Raw genomic sequence first — 21,732 nt, 5'->3', positions numbered from 1 at the left:
ATCATAATGTAAGAGGGCAATAGGGTGGGTGAAGTGAAGACCTGGAGTCCCACAAACCTAGTTCCAAATCTAAGCCTCACTACTTTCAACCTGATTCTTATTTTTCTGATCTCAAAAACAGATATGGGTACCACCCTCTGAAAGCTGCCATGCTTGTGTTGATACATGAAATATATTTTAAAATAGATAAATGAAATTATTTGTAAATTTCCTATTTCAGAGCCCAGTGGTAAGTGATAATTATTGTTATTATTCATTACTATTTATCCCAGAGAGAACTGAACAGGTGGGAAGGGGACTCAGGTCTGAACGTCAACTCAATTGTACCCCCATGCTCATCTTTGACCCAATATTAACGTTAGCATCAGAACTTTTGGAGGCTACATAATCATTCTTCTGCTTTATGTGTCTTTTCTATTCCCTATATTCCTGGCTAACTCAGATTGCAAAACTCTAGTTGAATCAGAGAAAAGGGAATTTATCTTTTTCAGATTACAGAGGGGGTTCAGCTTGGCCTTGGATGTTGGGGGTAGGGGTGCCAGTGGGTGGGACACGTTCTGAGGTCTGGGAAAATCTACTGAGTCAGGAGGAGAAACAGCTGCACCCAGCGGGGGAAACACACGGAGAACACTGAATGCTGACCCTCTCCCATCTGCACCCCTCAGAAGATTTTTTAAATTCAGGAAATGCAGGCTTCAGAAAGTCACATCACTTGTTAGGTCAGCAAATTGGTGGCAAATCCTGATCAAAATATTCAGACTTTCATTTCTTTCTTCTTGTCATTTGAAGCTGTTTTTTTTTTAAATTGGCAGTTCGTGATGGATAAGTATAATTATAGGTTTGTTATCCTAAACTGATTGAGTTTTTGGATATTTAGTACTACAGAATGGGAGCAGTTGAAATTATCTTAATGAAATGCACCAGGTTGGAGTTTCAACTCTAGCCATCTCGACTGGAAGAATGGAGGACAGTGGTATAGCTCAATCAGCATGTGGGTAACTACAGCTTCCACTTTTTTTTTTTTAATTTATTCCTAGGAATAAAGTTTTCAAACCTACAAAAGTTACCCAGTAGCCTTTCTAATGGTTTCACTTATGTATATTATATTAAAATTAATAGTAGTGATGACAGGAGGATCTAACTTTCAAGGCTGCTATCCAGAGCTCCCTATAATCCAGTGCCTATCTACCTTAGTGTGGCACACCTTTGCTGAGACATTTATCAAGTACCGCTATGTACCAGATATTGTAAAAACCATAAAAGCTGCCATATGCTGAGCATTTACAGCATGCCATATGCTATACCAGGTGCTTTGTAGACATTATCAAATTTCACTTTCACAACACCTTCCATGGTAGCTATCACCGTTCCCATTTACATAGGAGGAAACTGAGGCCCAGAGAAGTGAGATCAATTTCACACACAAGAGTCAGAACCTTGGTCTGTCTGACTCTGATATTCAGGCACTTAATCACTTTACCACACTATTATTCTTCCTGGGCTGGAGGCTCCGAAAGGAACAAACAGAAATGGCAAGATGTTAGCCAGTTGAGGGACAGATTTAAGAAAACAAGAAGTGACAGTGCAATGTAAGAATATTTTAGCAGAAAAATATTCCGGAGGCTTTGGGAGCAGAGGGGAGTGTCTGGGAGACCTTAACAGGCAAGATGAGAACTGAATTTTGAAGGATTGTGCAGGCCTCCCAACCTTCTCTTTCACTTCTCTATGCTGCAGACAAAATTGGTTCATCCGCTGCACGTCACAGGGAATTGCTTCCTTTCCCCTGTGCCTTTGCCCCTTTCGTGTGTTCTGCTTGGATTCTACTCCTGCTCACTGCTCACCTGGGTCATCTTCTTCCTTCAAAGCTTAGCTCGTGGCATGCTTTCCTCCAAGAAGTCTTTTTCTCTTTCCTTCCCTCCCTTCCTTTCTTCCTTCCTTCCTTCCTCTCCCTCCCTCCCTCCCTCTTTCTTTCTTCTTTCTTTCTCTTTCTTTTCCTTCCTTCCTTCTCTTTTCTTTTCCTTCCTTCCTTCCTTCTGTCTCTTTTCTTTTCCTTCCTTCCTTCCTCTCTTTCTTTCTTTCCCTTTCTTTGTCTCTTTCCCTTCCCTCCCTTCCTTCCTTCATCTCCTTCCTTCCTTCCTGTCTCTTCCCTCCCTCCTTCCTTTCTTTCTCTTTCTTTCTTTCTCTTCTTCTTCTTTCTTTCTTTCTCTGTCTTTCTCTCTCCTTCCTTCCTCCCTCCCTCTTTCTTTTTCTTTCTCTCTTTCTTTCTCTTTCTTTCTTCTCTTTCTTTCTTTCGTCTCTTTCTTCTTTCTGTCTTTCTCTCTCCCTTTCTTTCTTTCTTTCTTTCTTTCTTTCTTTCTTTCTTTCTTTCTTTCTTTCTTTCTTTCTTTCTTTCTTTCTTTCTTTCTTTCGTGAGTCTTGCTCTGTCACCCAGTCTGCAGTGCAGTGGTGCAATCTCGCCTCACTGCAACCTCCGCCTCCCGGGTTCAAGCGATTCTTGTGCCTCAGCCTCCTGAGTAGCTGGGATTACAGGTGCACACCACCATGCCAGGCTAATTTTTGTATTTTTAGTAGAGATGGGGTTTCACCACGTTGGCCAGGCTGGTGTCAAACTCCTGACCTCAAGAGATCTGCCCACCTCGGCCTCCCAAAGTGCTGGGATTACAGACGTGAGCCACTGTACCCCACCCAAGAAGTCTTTTTCTACCTACCTGCTTCATGCTTTGCTTTCCCTCCTCTGAACCTCCCTCATGTTTACTGATGGTCACACTCAACTCTTTTGGCACTTGGAGCAAAGCCATCTTTTTATTTTTAATCACTTATAATTTCTTACCCCACAACTGAGCAGTACATTTCTTAAGGGCAATGAATTTCTTATATTGTTTTGAATTCTAACAAACATCACTCCTCACATGCAGTTGAGTGTTTAATAGCAATGGCATTGATTGAGCACCTACCATGTGCCAAGCCCTTGGCAAATATTAAATGTAATCCTTATGATAACCTTGCAAGGTAGATGTTATTATCTTCCTTTAGCAGCAAGGTTAAGTAACTTTACTGTTACCACACAGTTGGCAAATGGCAGAGCTGGGATTTGAATTCAGGTCATCTGGATCTAGAGCCCAAACTCTTCGCTATGCTGTGTTTTCTATGTCTTAGAATATGAACTTCAGGCTGGGCACAGTGGCTCACGCCTGTAATCCCAGCACTTTGGGAGGCCGAGGTGGGCAGATCACGAGGTCAGGAGTCCGAGACCAGCCTGGCCAATATGGTGAAACCCTGTCTCTACTAAAAATACAAAAATTAGCTGGGCATGGTGGCACTCGCCTGTATTCCCAGCTACTCAGGAGGCTGAGGCAGAAGAATCACTTGAACCCAGGAGGTGGAGGTTGCAGTGAGCAAAGGTCATGCCACTGCACTCCAGCCTGGATGACAGAGTAAGACTCCGTCTCAAAAAAAAAAAAAAAAAAAAAAAGAACTTCAGTAAACCTGAGTGTTGTAGGTTCCCAGACAACAGAGTAATCTGAAACATCAGCTCAATGGTGCTTCAAATTGGGTAAGAGCTAGTTGTCTGAGACTCAGGTCTATTTTAAATCCTAAACAATGAGATTAGGATTTAAATATTTAAAGAAATGGAAATATTTGAAGTATAAATAATGAAAATAACAAAGATAAATAAATGGAATAAACTTTAAAAAATTTAAGTCTTAAAAGTGAATACTGGGATGTAGCTCAGAATCTACAAAGTAGCTGATATGTAGGATGAACAAGTCTAGACATCCAACATACAACATGAGGGCTATAGTTAATAAAGTTGAATTGTGTTAGGGATTTTTGTTAAATAAGTAGATTTTAGCAGCTTTTGCCACAAAAAGTAACTAAGTATCAGTAAGTAATAATGATTTGAAAAGCAAACACTTGAGGTTGGAATGAAAAAAACAGACCACTTGGAATAGTTAAATTTTGGTCTGTACTTGTACAGTATATATAAATCAAGGCTGATGAGATAGGAGATGTATTAATTTGCTTCACTATAGTGGAAATTTTACTATATATATGTATCCCATAAGGTCATGTTGCAAACATCAGTTATACACAGTAAAATTTATCTGAAAAAAATAAGCACAGAAACTAGAGAAATCTTAGACGCATGGCCCAACTCTCTGCTTTTATGGACAGGGACACTGAGGCTCAGAGAAGAGAAGGGAATTACCCAAGACCATTTGTAGCCAGAAGGAGGGGTTCAAACAGACGAAAGAAGGAGCAGCTTCTCTTTTGGTGGAGGAGAGATGTGTTACCCAAAGTTTCATGGAAATCAAAGAAACTTTGAGATGATAGAATATGCAGCTTCCAATTGCATGTATTTTTTCCTCTTAATACTTCACAAGAAATCCAAATGCAAATCACAGATCTAGATGTCATGATGTTTACACTTGTGGTAACTGAATTGTGCACAATTGGTATAGCAAAGCAGCAGCTGAATGTGTAACTAAACAAACGTCCAACTAGCAGTCTTGCTGGAAGGACAGGCGGTTTTAGGGACTAAGATAGACAATGCACATCTGTTCTACAGTTAAAGTCTGCCCAACTTTATGGCAATTGCTCTATGTCATAAACACACCGAATGGTGCCTATTCACCTTCTGTTCCCCCAAAATTTCCCATCAAATACGTACTATTGTCATACTTCTATCCGTTGCTTGTAATATTAACCCTCCAAAATAATTAGGAAAGATTATTAACCAAGAAACCCAGCTGACAATATTGCCTTATCCTGTATGCCCTTGATGTAGAGATTTTAGCAGTGAAATAATTTAAATGTAAGAATTTAGGATAATGTACAGAAAGAAAATAACTGTAAGTAATACTGATTTGAAAAGCAAACACTTGAGATTGGCATGCAAGAATCACGCTGTGTGGAAATAGTTCACTTTTGGTCTCTATATGTAGAGCATGTAAAAATCAAGGCTGTTATTATCTAAATACATTTCTCACTTGGGATATTTCTCTTTAACATTTTACTCAATTCAGACCTTCTAAAAACAGAGCCAGAAATCTTCATTTATTTTTCCTTAGGTTTATGTAGGATATTAACTTGAAGGAATTTTCATGTCTATTTTCTTACTGTTCCTGGCTATAGCATTTTGATGAATGAGCCGAGCAAAAGAGCTGTTACTTTGTTCATAAATCAACAAATAAATTGAACATCAAATCCTGATTCCTAGGCTCAATCTTAGCTTCCCCTACACTACACGACACTTCCCCATCTCCCCAACAGTTTCAATTCCAAGCTGATTTCCTTTTCCTACACAGCAAGTTTTACATTTTTCCCCCCTCATGTCAGCTGATGTATATTCAACAATTTTAAATAAATCCATAAGATAGCTTAAGAAAAACTTGATTAAAAGGAACAATGGTCTGAAAATCACTCACCAACTTTCAAAACAAAACTGAAAAATTGTGACTATTAGGTTTATTGCCTTTTTTCTACATATAATAAAGAGGTTATTGAATTTTATGATGTTATTTGAAAATAATTCGATGTTTAGCTTTTATAGAACTCAATTGAAATAGTGTAGTTCAAAAAAAGCAGCAATCAGAACTTAATTATGTGTGTGTGTGTGTGTGTGTGTGTGTGTGTGTATTTGGTACTAGATGGTGGTGAACGGCTCACATTTATATATCTTGGTAGAAGATCTAGTAGTGTGGTAAAGAATAACAGAAAAATTCAAGAAAGAAAAAAGAAAAACCATTATTTAAAAATAGACATACATAGCAATAGTTGTGAAACCACAGAATTGTAGCTAAAATGTATAGAAGTGGTTTTAATTTCTAGTCTTTGGTAAAAGTCTCTTTTGATGCAAGGGATATTTTTTCTTGTTCCTACTGCAAAGATGTGAAAAACATTTCATGGTATCAAAAACAGATGTTCATGAGGGAAGCTGCGGTAAAGATGGATCAACAGAGTCTTGTGTAAATTTATCAGTGTCGTCACAAATAAAAGAGCAGCAATTTGGGCATCCAATAGATACTTCCTGAAGTATGCCTATCCGGCGGGGGACATAGTTTTCAGAATATGCAGAATATGTGAGTATTAGTTTTCTAGGATGGCTGTAACAAATTATCACAAACAGGGTGGGTTAAAACTAGCAACATTGATTCTCTCATAATTCTGGAGGCCAGAAGTCCAAAATCAAGGTGTTGGCAGGGCTGTGTGCCCTCCAGACTCTAGGGGTGAATTTGCCTTTGCTTTTTCAAGCTTCTGGTGGCTACTGGTAGATATTCCTTGACTGTGGCCTCATCACTCCAATCTCTGCTTAAGTGGTCACATTGCCTCCTCATCTTTTGTGTATCTTCTCCCCGGTGTGTGTGTTTCTCTCTCAAAACTCCCCCTTGTGAGGGAGGATACTTGTGGATACATGTGATTATACTGAGAACTCACCTAAATAATGCCAGGTAAGGGCCTCTTCTAAAGATACTTCACTTAACCACAAATTCTGCCGTATAAAGCAGAACTCACCGGTCCCAGGGATTTGGCATGGGATCTTTGGGGCTCCCATTTTTTTTTAACCTATTACAATGCATTTATGGTAAACCACATGGTAGGGCCTCTGACTGGTCATTACTCATGCTGTCAGCTGCAAATTTTGAGCATGTCTAATGAATGACTTCTCTAACTTAACTTACTCGATATATGAGAATCATTGTGTCCTAGTGCATTGGTATGAAAAAGGGGAGGTGGTCTCAGTATGAGCCATCAAATCAGAGCCCCACAGTGTCTCCCGTAACATGATGGTCCATGATTCTTTCTTATTGGATTGCGTTTGCAACAGGGACAGAAATAGGTCCTCAAGAGTCAATGACTAATGCATATGATATCCTTGAGATTTACAGATATTCTAGAGTAGTGGTTAAGAGGATGAAACATCAGTAGGTGGACAGTAAGGGCAATTCATGCAAATGTCTAAAGTCCAAATAACCGCATTTTGGGACTTTATGCATTTAATTATCTGAATTCAAAAAGTCAGTGAAGTGAGGATGAGCGTAAGATACTAGTGTTGAGATGCTGGGTAATATGATGGGGACAGGAAGTTAAAGATGAGTTCATATCATCTATGCACTTGATGCCTGAGAATAGCTACCATGGTTAGAACCGGTGCGTACTTTTTTTGTTCTAGAAGTTATCTCTACGTGGTATATTTCTTTTTAAAAAACCCGTTTGTTTGCTTGTATCAGCGATTATTCTATTCTAGTCCCCTTTGGCCATTCCCTTTAAATATGGAATGTGGGCTGGGCACGGTGGCTCACGCCTGTAATCCCAGCACTTTGGGGGGCCGAGGTGGGTGGATTACCTGAGGTCAGGAGTTCAAGACCAGTCTGGCCAACATGGTGAAACCCCGTCTCTACTAAAAATACAAAAATTAGCCAGGCATGGTGGCACACACCTGTAATCCCAGCTAATCGGGAGGCCGAGGCAGGAGAATTGCTTGAGCCCGGGAGGCAGAGGTTGCAGTGAGCCGAGATTGTGCCACTGCACTCCAGCCTGGCCGACAGAACCAGATTCTGTCTCAGACAAAAAAAAAAAAAAAAAAAAGGAATGTGGAATTAGGAGTCATCTGCTACTTGTAAACTGTGCAGCTTTGAAATAATTACTTCGCTTCTCTTGTTCTCAATGCACTCATCTGTAAACTGGGAAACTGTAAATATCAATCTCGGGGTTAGTGTGTCTATCAAATGAAACAACACATGAGAAAGTGCCCTTTAAACTGTCCTTACATACATGTTATTATAGTCTTCATATTACATGTCTATGCTGCCTGGTCTTTTGTCTTCAGTTTCAGTCTAGGGCTTGGTTGCTAAGTTCTTGTATTTTTCAAATGTGTAAGTATTTTTTCTTTTCACCAGGTTATTTGGTGTCCAATGGCACAAACTATATATTACATGTGTTTCTTGTATCCACTTTCTCCATAAAAGACCCACTGTCACTGGGTCAATAGCAAGACCTCAGCAAGTTCTTATCTGAAGAGAGATAAAAACCTTGGCTGTGACATGTGAGGCTTAGACACTTGCTCTTTATTCTATGGCAAAGTTCTCAAACAATGAAGTGCAAAGGCACCATCCAAGGAGCTTGTAAAAAAAATGACACAATGACCATGCCTTGGCTCCAACCCAATAATAGTAGACATGGGACAGGTCCAGGGATCTGTATTTTAAAATGAAATAAAATAATATGGCTTATAATTAATTATGTCTACATTGTCTCATTTTATAAAAAGTAAAAACTCACCAAAAAATAAAGAAAAGAAACAAAATCCGTGACTTGATAGTCACAGATCTTGAGCAAGAAGTCATATTAGGTAAATTTTAAAGAAAAAAGTATGTCCGCCATTTGGATATATGCCTTCATGCCCTTTAATGTAACTTTTCTTTTTCTATAACTCTGGTATAGTGCCTTATCATTTGTATACAGGCATTGATAATGATACAAGGTGTGAGTTACACACTCATTCACCCTGGGCAGACACCATGTTTATTCCCTGACAATGGATATTACCCATATGTGCAACTCTTGCCTTTCCAATTGATAGTTTGCCTGAAACTTTCATCAACATTCATAATTTAGTTGCTGTCTCATGTTAGTTGCAGTTACTGTGGTCAAGCAACCCGCGTGACTTCCACTTGAAGCTGTGGTTCATTTTAAGTAGATTCTGAATTCCTTCTCTCTCTCTCTCTCAAGAGACTAGATTTGGATTGATATTTTATTTTTATTATTATTACTATTTTTTGAGACAGAGTCTCACTGTGTTGCCCAGGCTGGAGCGCAGTGTCACGAACTCAGATCACTGCAACCTCTGCCTCCCAGGTTCAAATGATCCTCCCACTTCAGCCTCCTGAGTAGCTGACATTACAGGCATGAGCCACTACACCGGGCTAATTTCTGTATTTTTAGTAGAGATGTGGTTTCACCATGTTGGCCAGGCTGGTCTGGAACTCCTGGCCTCAAGTGATCTGCCTGCCTCAATCTCCCAAAGTGCTGGGATTACAGTCATGAGATACTGTGCCCTGCTGTATTGATATTTTTATCACACACCCCAGGTGATTCTGAGCAGGCACTGTGAGAAGCACTGAACTAGGAGCAGACAAGGAGCCAATTATTCAGACTTCTCTGTAGCAGATAAGCTCCATTTATTTAACTAGAAGAGAGGTGGTGGTTTAAAAGAAAGGATAACGGCTGGGCGCGGTGGGTCACGCCTGTAATCCCAGCACTCTGAGAGGCCGAGGCAGGTGGATCATGAGGTCAGGAGTTTGATACCAGCCTGGCCAACATAGTGGAACCCCTTCTCTACTAAAAATACAAAAAAACACAATTAGTGGGGCGTGGTGGCAGGCGCCTGTAATCCCAGCTACTTGGGAGGCTGAGACAGGAGAATCGCTTGAATCGCTTGAACCTGGGAGGCAGCAGTTGCAGTGAGCCGAGATTGCGCCACTGCACACCAGCCTGGGCAACAGTGCGAGACTCCATCTCAAAAAAAAAAAAAAAAGATAACATAAAATATGCAATTAAAGGTGTTCTTGGGTGGGAGGAAATTGAACGTTCATTTGAAATATGTCTCAGGAGTTTGATTTTGGAGCAGAGTTGAACATGGTGCCAACATTCTCAGCATACATGCTGGAAGAACCAGTACCTGCTGCGTATCAGCCCCTGCACTAGGTACTGGACATGGTTGTCTCATTTATTTCTGTTCATCTGCTCTCATGCTCTGCACCCAGCAGGTGCCAACAGATGCCTGACATTCATGTGATTATATTTTACTTGATAGAATAGGTGTTTATATGCTGATCTTGGTAACCAAATGATATTGCCATTTTAGAATCATTTCTGGAGATCTGGTGCAACTACTTAAACATTTGGGGTATACAGTAGAACTATTTATAAAGACATGGATGGCAGATAAAGATTTTAGACTCAGAACATCTCCTACTAGGATTTTAAAATCTGATTTTGCATGTTACACAGAAGATTTTTTTTAAGTTATCTCTGTTGGGTTTAGAGTAACAATTACGTGGATGAAGGTGAGTATTATTCCCACCAACCAAGCCCTTGGTAATCCATGGCTTGGGGAAATGAAAAAGTCAGGACACACCATCTTTTAATTGCCATGAACTACAGTAGCCAGCCAGTAAGATCACAGAGCTCCTGGCGCGCCTGCTGGCTGCTAACAGACGTGCCATGATTAGAGATATTTACAGCTGGAAGGGACCCCAGAGGTCATTTTGCCTAACTCATTTCATATTGGGTCCAGAAGAGTAAAATGACTTTCCCAGGGCCACATGACTGGTTCCCGGCAAGGGCCAGGGCCCCTCTCTACTGGTGTTCCTCCACTCCATCAGGCTCCTCAGTCAGGAGGAGCACCAGCATTTATTGACTGTGATTTATGTGATTTACATGACATCCAGTTATGAGGGAATAGGAATTCTGTTTCCAAGGGCATATAGTCAATAGCAGATGAACAAAGCATGAAAACTCTTTCAAAAAGGGCATGAAAACTCTTTCAAAAAGGGCAGGAAAACCAGCATTAAATAGACTAGGATGAGATTGAAGTAGAGGGAGTGTAAGTTAAGGTGTAAATGCTGGCACCACTAAGTGAGAGAAAGATTGTCTGTCACAGAATAATTCTATACTGCGTGCCAGTTAAAGGAAGGCTTTGTTTTGAGAATACCAGACCCAGGAAGTAGGTGATTGGTGTGTGGATAAAGGGAGAGGAGAGAGAACCTGCAAGCACCTCAGAATATATTAAATTGGGACTTACATTAAGTCTTGAGTTACTTGTCTGCCCGGATCGTTTTTCTGCCAGGAGATCTTTGACTGTATGCTTCACTCTCACTCCTTGATACACTCGTTTGCTGTAGTCTCCTGGGACTTAAGCAAATGGAATAGTCACAACGAATGTGGATGGAATCATTAGGTTAAGCTCCCAAAGGACATGTTTAGGGGGCTGATCATTGTGATGTCATTTTCTTGATAGAATGATAGAATTCCTGGATTTGAAGTGGCTTTGATAGAGTAGCTTCAATAGAGCCGTGTCTCCTGATCTTTGATAGAGACTCATCTAAGCTCTACTAAGTGACAGAAACACTGTTCCATCATCTACACAACAGCTCTTCAAAGTCCCTTCCTTGTACTCTGACTTGTCAAGATTTACTCTGGCAAGGTTTACAAATTATGCTTTAATCACAAGTCCAAGGATTGGATGCAACTTGAAATGATGCTTCTAAATACATGAGGTAGAAGTTAGATTTGTATGATTCAGGTTACAGCATAACAGTATTCCTGCCCTATTATACCTGATGGGAGTGAGCAGGTCAGCAGGAGTTTTAAGAAGATTACGTTCCTAAGAAGAAAGTTGTTTGTTATTGGTTTACTGCACTAAATAAATGTTTTGTTTTTGAAAATCGGTGATTCAACATGAGGAGTTACTGCTTCAAAATAAGGCCGAGGATAAATAAGGAATCATTCATTCATTTAACAAATATTTATTGAGCACTTACTATATTCACTTCCTGAAGATGTTGTAGTGCTTGGCAATTTACATGTATTGCTTCATTTGATCTGTTTTACAGATGGGGAAACTGAGGTCTGCGACTAAATTATTTGCAAGGTCTCACAGCTACTTATAAGCAATAGAGCTGGAATCCAGACTTAGGTCGGTTTGTAGTATCAACAACCAGAAAAATATGCTGTTTTCACCATGAGGGAATTACAGAGAGATAACAGACTATAGAGTAAAACGTTTCCCCAAGGTTCTAAAATTGACAGCATTGCTTCTAGGGATAGTGAGAACCTTATTACTGAGGATGGTGAAGAAATAATAAGAGAACCTTTTGTTTGGCCTATTCTAGAAAGCATTTATACACTGTATTAGTGGTTCCACTAGAGGAATTCTAAGATGTTTTCTAACTATAATTATTATAATTGTTGTTCTGTAGTAGGTTAGACAACTTCCATTTAATTAAAATTAAATACATGATAGTTGAGGTGTTGCTGGCTTACCAGCAAATTCAGCTGGTACAGAATTCAGCATCAGTGTGTATGGCAGAATATAAAAACAAATGTACGTATGAGGCACATAACCAAAATTATTCTCTAATCTGGTTGAATTTGTAGATAGTCCAGAATATATTTGATTTGTGAGTCAAATTGGATTGTAAAAAGAATGAAAGGAAGGAAGAAAGGAAGAAATTAAAGCTACAACCAGAGGTAGTATGGTGCATTGGAGAAAAGAGGTTGCTGGTAATCACAGTTACACATTAGTCACTGGCTTGGAACAATAATAATCTCTCAGTTCCATTTTCCTCATGTGTAAAATGGGTATAATCACCTCTTCTTAGCTGTCTTCAGAGGATTAGAAGGCAAAAATAGGATATACATGTGAAAATTCCTTGAAAGCTAACAAGCTTCATACAAAACACCGATACAAAATGAAGAAGAAAAACAAATCCAGGTTCCAAGACAATGTATTATTTAATTCAAGTAAAGCCACATGCAGCCTTATTTCAGCAAAACAAAGTTATTTGAATCATCATTTGTGTCTAATTTTGACAGGATTTGGTCCATATATGCTATAATTAAAGAAGCTTGAAATACTTCTTTGAAATCAGCCTCAAATTTAAAGCTTACTGATCTTATGATTGTTCCAAAGGAATCTAAATGTTGCTTCTAGAATTGTGTGTGATGCTCTACTTTTGGAAAAGCCTAAGGTCACATTGATTTATTGATTATTGATTGAGTGTTTTCTGTGTGTCAGAACTGGGGATACAAAAGAACATGGCTATCTAGTGGGGAGAGAAATACTTTAAAATAAAATAATTGTGATGCAAACGTGCTAAGTGCAAGAACAGAAATACACCTAGGATAGTCAGAGAAACCCAGAACGCATCACTTCCTTGTAGCGGGGAGAGAGACTCAGGGAAGGCAGGGTGATACCTGAGTTGGGGCTTAAAGCAAGGTAGGGTGTGTGTGGTGATGGCAAAATAGGTAGGAAGACAGCACGGGCAAAGTCCTGGAGGCAAGGACAGAAAGAGGAAGTGGCAGGAAGTGAGGCTGGGGAAATGAGTAGGGGTCAATCATGATGTTTCTGGTATAGGGAAGAGTTTGGAATGCATCCTCTAGGCCATACGCCATTGGGGGCTTTTAAGAAAGACAGTGATGTTGGTTTGATTTGCATTTTATATAGACTTTTCTGGCAGCTGAGAGGAAGGTGGTTTTGAGAATCACAAAGCTGCGGGAAGATCAGTCAGGAGGGTTCTAGAATAATCCAGGCAAGAGCTGATGGGGACTGAGTAGTGGTGGATGGGAGGGCAAGGATCAGACAGGTTTGAACATTATTTAAACATGAGAGAGAAGAAGATTCAAGGGTGAATCTCAAGTTTCCACCATGGAATTGCTCTCAGTACATAAGTTTCAGAACCATCGTGATGTGGATGGTAATGAAACCAAGAAAGAGGATGAAATCCCTTGGGGGAGTGATTGAAAGATAAAGTCACATGGTGGCACACATAGAAAAGAATAATGAGCACCTGGCATACTGGGGTAAACAGGTCAGGCTACTTCCAAGAGCTAAGAGGATCAGTATCTTTGGAATGCCTATAACACTGATTTCTGACACACAGGTTTGGAAGCTGTGGACTAAATGATTAAAGATGGAAGCCTGGGGAACAGTGACATTTGAATGGTTGTCAGAGGAGGAGAGGAGAACCCTATGAAGAAGATAAGGGAAGACTAATTGGAGAAGAAACAGGAAAAACCAGGGGAATAAAGCATCCTAGAATTCTGGGGAAGAGATTTCAAGAAAGAAATTAAAAAAAATCAGAGGCAACAGAGTAGTTCAGGAAGATAAAGACAGAAAAACATCTCTTACTTTCAATTCAGTGGTTGGCATTGAGCTTACCAAGAATAACTCAGAAGTGCGGGGTGGCTGGAAGCCAGACAATAATGTCAATGGAGGAGGTAGACACAGGAAGGGGAGACTATTTCTTCTTGAAGTTTGAATGAGAAAGGGAAACAAGAGATTGAGTGATAATTAGAGAGAATTATGGTGTCAAGGAGAGGTTTGCTTATGTTCTTATATCTATTTATGCATTTATGAGTGGGAGAGAGTTGAAAATATTTGAAGAGGACAGAGGGAAGACTAATGGCTTAGAAGAGAGGGACAGAATGATGGAAAGAGGTCTTGAAAAGGCAGAAAGAAATTAAGGTCAAGGGCACAAATTGACCCTCAACTTCTGAGACTGAAATACAGAAAGTCAGGGTGTGGGCGGGGTGGTGGTATGGCCAGTTACTACGACCGCTCTAGTGCACATCAAGCAGGCTGGCATAGGAGAGCAATTCAAAACTGGGCAGAACCAGGCAGGGGTCAAAGCCAGACAGACAAGTCAAAGAATATACGTCGGTGATTCTCAAATGTGATCCCTGGACCAGCAGCATCAGCATTGTCTAGGAACTTGCTAGAAATGCAAATTCGCCGACCCTACTCCAAATGTACCGAATCAGAAACCCTAGGGTGGGGCCTAGCCTTCCAGGTGATTCTGATGCTCTCTGACGTTGGAGAACCACAGATATACATATGAGTAAGGCCTTTAGAAGGTTCCTGTGGAGGTGGGGTGGTCAACTCTAATCTACGCAGTCCTGGCTGAGCAAGAGGGGGAGTATCTGACTGACTGAGGTCGATGTGGACTTAGACAACTCTGGGAAGGAGGAGGGCCTGGGAATTGAGGAGGTCCAGGCTGGATCCTTTGTATATTTGCAGACTGTCTCTACTTTGCTTTTTAAAGTGCTTTTTAATTGATGATTTTTATCTGAATTAGCAATCTATACTTTATGTGTATGCCAAAAAGCCTAGGGGAAATACACCTATTCTAAATAAGTTTAACAAATAACCACATGGTGATTAATAGAGGAATAAAGTTCATGAGATGGCAAATATCCAGATCAAAACTTCTGAAGTTTTGTCATAAAACAATCAGTCTTATGTACCAGTTGGCACTGACTTAGTGCAAAGCACGGGGCTATATGCCACAGGGGATGCAAAATAACTTTAGAACATATAGCAGATGTCCTCAAAGAGATCTTATTTTAGTGAGAGAAATCAGACATTCACATGTGAAAGAGCAGGGGAGGGGGAAGAGTACACTTTGGATTGTTGATGAAAGTTTTGTGGGAAGGGATGGGACTTAAGCTGGAATGAGAAGCATGTGGACAGGTTAGGAGGAAGGAGAATGACCTTGTAGACAGCAGGCATCTGTGAGCAAGAACAAAGAGACAGGAAGCAGAAAAGATGTGTGCAGTGGTAAGGAATGAGTACAATTGGAGATACTAGATTTAAATGCCATATAGATGTAATCGAGTTTCAAATGGGTATCTCCAGCCCAGACGTGGACTTCAGTCTTGGATATCCATTTATGATTGGATGTCTAGTAGACATCTCAAACTCCACACATCCAAATATGAACTCCATTCTTCCTTTCCACATTTGTTTTATCTGAAACTTTTCCTATCTCAGTTGATGGCAGCCTGTCTTTGTGGTGACTGAGTCCTGAAGCTGTAGAGTCATTCTAGGCTCCTCTGTCTCATCTTTCACAGCCTATTCTTTAGCAATTCCTGATGGTGCTACCTACAAAATACATCCAGAGTCTGCTGACTTTTCTTTACTCTTCTGATAATATCCAGGCTCCATCCAGGGCAATTTCTACAGTAATGTAGATTACTGTGGCAGCCTTCCAACTGTTTTTCCTGCTTCCACATCCACCCTGCCCTAGTCTAGTTTCAACACAGTAGACAGGATGATCCTTTGAAAACGCAAGTTCAATTGTGTCCCTGATCTGCTCTAAACCCTACAATGGTCCACCATGACGCTCACAGGAAGAACCAAAGTCCTCATAATGGCTTTACATGACCCTGTTCCCTGAAACAGGGTTTCATCTCCTAAGACTCATCTCCTTGCTTACTGTACCCCAGCGTTTCTGAAGTGCCCCAAGAATACTTCTGCCTTAAGACTTTTGCGCTGGCTGTCTCTGCTGTCTGGAGTACTCTTTTCCCCATTATCCACATGGCTAAATGATTTTGTCTACTTCAAGTCTTGGCTCAAATGTCATCTTCTCAAGGAGAACATATTTCAAGTTGCATCCTCCCCAGAAAATACTCCTGATCCCCTTACTCTATTCTAGTTTTTCTGTCTGTGTAGCACTTGCCATTCTATTATGTCCTATATCATTTCCTTATGGAGTACATCTATTGTTTATTGTCTGTCTGCTTCTTGCTAGAATGTAAGCTCCACGAAGTGGGGGCTTTGCTTGTTTTTACTCATGCATGCATCCCAAGTGCTAGTGCCTGGAACACAGGAAGCTTTCAGTAAATATTTGTTGAAAACAATTTGTTTTTGGTTGAAAATAATGGACATGTTAAAGGTCTTAAAAACTTGGCTGCAAAAATTTACAGTTTATGTTGTAACGTATGGAAACCACTAAATTTTTTGGACAGAAGAGTACTATGACTCTTATATTTTTTGGAAGTTCAGTCTGAGGATAGATTCTAGAATGGGCTGGGGATGAGGAAACTGAGAGGATGGGAAATGGTAAAACAGAGGCTAGCCAGAAATACTGGAAATGACAAGGAAAGGACATATTTAAGAGACCTTTCAAGGGAAAAGACACACACACCCCCCAACCCCCCCAAAACAGCACTATGATTAATAAGAGAAGTCAAGAAGGTCGGGGAAAGAGTCGGTTTTGATGGGGAAGAAGAATGCAGTTTTTAATATGTTGGCTTTGAGGTTGTGGTGACATGATAAAATAAAAAATAAAAATATTCTGGAGATATGAGAACCTGGACCTGGTAAAAACTGTACATCTAAGAAGCATCTTTAGAATTATGGTAATTGAAGCTAAGAAAGTAAAGTTCTCCAAGGAAGACTTTGTAGCAAGAGAAGAGTAGAAATTCAAGCCTGAAGTCTTGGGAAATGCTACCATTCTGATGCGCAGGGGAAGAGAGGGGCTGGAGAAGGACTTCAAGCGGTAGGGGTGCACGGAGGAGAGGCCAGAAATGTAGGAATATACCAGAGTAGTAGCATCAGGAAAATGAAAGAAAGAGGGTTAGAGAGAAAAAGGAACAATCAGTGTTGTCAAGTATCTGGTATTTAGTAGTTGCTCAATAAATGCTTATGAAATAAATGAAACGCCTTAGAGAAGTTGAGGAAAACGAAGGTAAGAAAGACAGTCGAGTTTGGGAAGGTGGAGGTCTTTAGAAAATGGGAAAGAGCAGTTTCCTAAGATGTGAGGGTGAAATCTTTCTCTGGGGTTTCATGGGAGTTTGGGTGGTGACAAACCAGGACTAATGGGATAACCAAGCTCTGAAGCAGGGGTACAGGTAAGTGAATGCTTACATTTTGCAACAGCACAAAAGGTGAATTAAAGTAAATTTGAACAAAGCAATGGAAACTGGTACAAATTCTTTAAAATATGCTGAGTATTCCTCATGTTTTTGAGAATTCTGAAAGTTTCATAACTTATCCTACCTCCCACCTTCTTTTTTTTGGAGAGGAATGATATTTAGAGTTTAAAAATTTTACCAGGATTCCTACTCCAAAACATTTTTTTCCCCTGTGCATTGTGTCTATTTAAAGAATCCACACCTGCATACACCAGGAGAGCTTAAGAGTTTTTATTCAAATACTCTAGATACAAACTTGCATTCAGATCAGTTGTTGAGAAAACAAAGACGTGTGCTTCCGGAAAGAAAGCACAAGCAAATTTAATAGGAATCGACTCATCCTGTAGAATTTGGAAAAAGATGTTTTTTTGCACTGTAGGACTGTGTTTGTGTCCATGCAACAAATTGTCTCAGTCATGTCATCTCCTTCTCATTTACTTTAATGACGAAGAATTTAGTCTATAGTAGACTTAATGGTGATGTTACCTTAAGATTGTTTTTCAAAATTAAACGTTTTCTCTATCAAATCAAACACGTATTCTGAAATCAATTTGTCATTTAAAATACAGGTGATTTTTAAACTGTTTTAGTTATTAAATATCAAATACACTTATGGCACTTAAAGCACCTTCTTATTTTTACTATTTTTGATGACATTCTCTGAGGTACCTGTTACTGCTTTTAAATTATTTAATGTTTTTAAGCAGGTTTTTGTGACTTTACGTAAGGGAATAAAGAGATAGTTCAAACAAAGAAAAAGAAAGAAAAAGCAAAATCATCCCATAACTTTAGAAATAAAGAATTTATATTCTGAGTTATGTGATAGACAATGACACAATTAAGATGGTAGAGAATGTCTCTCCGAATTACACTCCCTCTTGACACTAGAATGTAGCCACACTGTCACTCAAGACAGAGTAGAATTAAAATCCAGAACGGGTCATTGGTGGATGGATCTATATTTGGTCCATTCTCTGCCTGTCAGGGAGATGCCAAGAATCAGGTCCTGGACAGTGCAATGGCAATATAGTGTGTTGGGTCAGCGTCTGGCTCAGGTACCAGCTCTGGTGCTGTGGGCATCCCTCCCCTCACCCCACTATCCCAGCTCAGTCCACATTACTGAGAATCAGACTCCTGTCACAGAAGGGAAGGCAGATACCCATTAGGAATGAATAGTAAGCCTTACGCCCACTAGGAACTCAGGGTTAGTGGTTTCACTTCTAATCTGGGGAGATGATATGTTAGTTATATTGTGGAAAACCTCCAGGAGAATACAAGAAAAGGCCACACGGATCACAAGGTCAGGAGATCGAGACCATCCTGGCTAACACGGTGAAACCCTGTCTCCACTAAAAAAATACAAAAAAATCAGTTGGGCGTGGTGGCGGGCGCCTGTAGACCCAACTACTCGGGAGGCTGAGGCAGGAGAATGGCGTGAATTCGGGAGGCGGAGCTTGCAGTGAGCGGAGATCGCGCCACACCACTGCACTCCAGCCTGAGCGACAAAGCGAGACTCCGTCTAAAAAAAAAAAAAAAAAAAGGCCACTTATAGTCTCCAAGCTCATAAACTAATCTTGAAATATTCAAAATATTATTAAGCAGAAAATACTACACACGATGAAATCTTTTTTTTAAGATGGAGTCTTGCTCTGTCACCAGGCTGGAGTGCAGTGGCACGATCTCAGCTCACTGCAACCTCCACCTCCTGGGTTCAAGTGATTCTCCTGCCTCAGCCTCCCGAGTAGCTGGTACTATAGGCGCCCGCCACCACGCCAAGCTAATTTTTGTATTTTTAGTAGAGATGGGGGTTTCACCATGTTGGCCAGGATGGTTTCGATCTCTTGACCTCATGATCCACCCACCTCAGCCTCCGAAAGTGCTGGGATTACAGGCATGAACCACCACGCTCGGCCTATTTATGAAATCTTAAACTTGAAATAAAGACTAACTTTTAAAGATGCTAGGTCAAATCAGTTAACATATTAGGATTTTGTTGAAGTTTGATTTGCCCACACTGTAGGTATCCACAAACTCCTCCCAATGTACCTTCATAGCTGAATCCAATACCCAAAGAAGCTGTAATTAACACCTTGTAAAAATAGCTGCACTCCCATGTTCATTGCAGCATTGTTCACAATAGCCAAGATACAGAGACAACCTAAACAGCCATCTGTTGATGGATGAATAAAGAAATACGGTCTCTCTCTCTCTCTCTCTCTCTCTCTCTGTGTGTGTGTATGTGTATGAATATATAAAATTCAGACTTAAAAAGAAGGAGATCCTGCCATGTGCCACAACTTGGCTGGAAGTGGAGGACATTATGCTAAGTGAAACAAGCCAGACAGGGAAGAAAAATATTGCATGATCTCACTTGAATGTGGAATCTAGGGAAAAAAAAGGTCAAGTATATAAAGAATAAAACTGGTCACCATAGGTAGGATTGAGGTGGGGGAGGAAATGAGATGTAGATCAGAAAATACAAAGTAGCCAGTGTGTAGGATGAAACTCTAGAGATATAATGTACAACATAAGGACTACAGTTAATAACATTGCAGTGCTTTAGGGATTTTTGTTAAATAAGTAGATTTTAGCTGCTCTTGTCACAAAAAAGTAACTAAGTGACATGATAGATATATTAATCTGTTTCACTATAGTAACCATCTTTACTATCTGTATCTATATAATAACATGCTGTGAATCTCAAGTATACACAATACAATTTATTATTTTTTAAAAATTGTCACAGCTAATAACCAATTTTATGCTGCAGAAGATAGATGCTCTTAGAGCTCTTTCTATCTTCTTACCTTTTGAGATCAGACTTTGAAGAATTGCAGCATTTAAAAAATATTAATTTTTCTTTTAAGGTACTTTACAAGGCATTTTTGAAATGCTCCCTCTGTCATCATTTGTTAACATTTAAAGTGCTGACTTTTTCAATCTTAAATTTGTTCGCGAACAGGTGGGCTTTGCTCTCTGTTGACTATTCACATTTGTATCTCAGGATGAACATCCGGGGAAAGATCTATATTTAGTTAGATTCATGAAATAACAGCCCAGACTCTTCCTTATCATATGTAAATAGAATGACCTTACTTCTTAGCCTTAAAAGCCTAAAACAAGATGCATGAATAAAAGATGTTTCAGGTTCTATATGAATGTGAATTCTTCTTCTGCACTTTCTCTATAGTTGAGAGCTTACTGAAATTTGCTAAAATAAAATTTCACTATATATTGGAAAAGAAGGCTTTGATATTCAAGTACTTATTTTATGAAAATAATGTTCAACTGAGTTGATCTTTCAGAATATCTCTGTAAACTCTATAAAGCAAAACAAAATCAAACAATTAGTAATTAAATGTAACTAGAATTAGGAAAATGTTACCAAGAGTTCTAAATAGGTAGTCCTTGATCTGTGTTTTATATTTTTATATGTTCTATGCCAGAGTTAGGAGATTTCTCCTTAACCTTTGTTTTATGTTATGACTTTGTGTTATCAAAAATAAAAATTAGGATTAAAGTTTTTTTAAATTATAATAATTGATGTTGACTTACCACTTTCCATTCTGGATGTTTCTGGTGGATTTCCTTCTTAACAGCAGTGCAGAATTTCTTGTGAATGGTGTTCACTCCTTGGTAAGGGGTCCTGGTCTGCTAGAAAGCTCAGCCTGACCCTGGTGGGAAAGCCTTCTGCACACGGTAGTGATGCTTCTGAAATGACTTGCTCTAGATTTGATTAAATGCAAATCCTTTGGTGTGTGTTTCTCTACAATTTGCATCCTCAATGTAGATGATATATGAAGGTACTTTTTCCCTCCCCATGAAGATTTTTATTCCCCATGAATGAATTTCCATTAGGAACAAACTCTCTTAAAAGTTTATTATGAAAAAAAGGAATCTCTTATTTCTTTTATGAATAACAGTGGAATTTTCCACCCTCTTTAATTTAGAGTTATATTTAAAAAAAATGTATGTATATATGTATGCATGCAAAAGCCCATATTTGCCAGTAGGTACTATGCCTATAGTACTTAGGTTATGGGTACATGATTTTTAAGAGATGGGCATCTTGCAGGTGGAGATGAAAATTCTAAGAAAATGTTTTCAATTAGGAATAGGAATCACAATTAATGTCACTTTAATACAATTGGTTTGCCATTTTATTATGTCTAAAACATAAATATATGATGTATAGCTGAGGTCCCTAATCCTATTAGTACATCAGAATCAATTGTGAAGCTGGTTAAAAAT

At 39.5% G+C, this 21,732-nt stretch overlaps 1 protein-coding gene across 1 annotated transcript in view; it reads right to left on the bottom strand.

The window, feature by feature from the left end:
• POU2AF2 (POU class 2 homeobox associating factor 2) overlaps positions 1-21,175 on the bottom strand; it is a 40,677-nt gene extending 19,502 nt beyond the window's left edge. Inside the window, exons 1-2 of the mRNA NM_198498.3 lie at positions 21,037-21,175; positions 10,808-10,917 (exon numbers count right to left, since the gene is read on the bottom strand). Coding sequence (NP_940900.2) covers positions 10,808-10,917; positions 21,037-21,046 — 120 coding nt within the window. The 5' untranslated portion in view covers positions 21,047-21,175. The remainder of the gene's footprint in view (positions 1-10,807; positions 10,918-21,036) is intronic.
• Between the last annotated feature and the right edge of the window lie 557 nt (positions 21,176-21,732).

The sequence above is a fragment of the Homo sapiens genome, chromosome 11 (assembly GCF_000001405.40).
Source record: "Homo sapiens chromosome 11, GRCh38.p14 Primary Assembly".
Lineage (NCBI taxonomy): Eukaryota > Metazoa > Chordata > Mammalia > Primates > Hominidae > Homo > Homo sapiens.
This window is presented reverse-complemented; position numbering and strand designations above follow the sequence as displayed.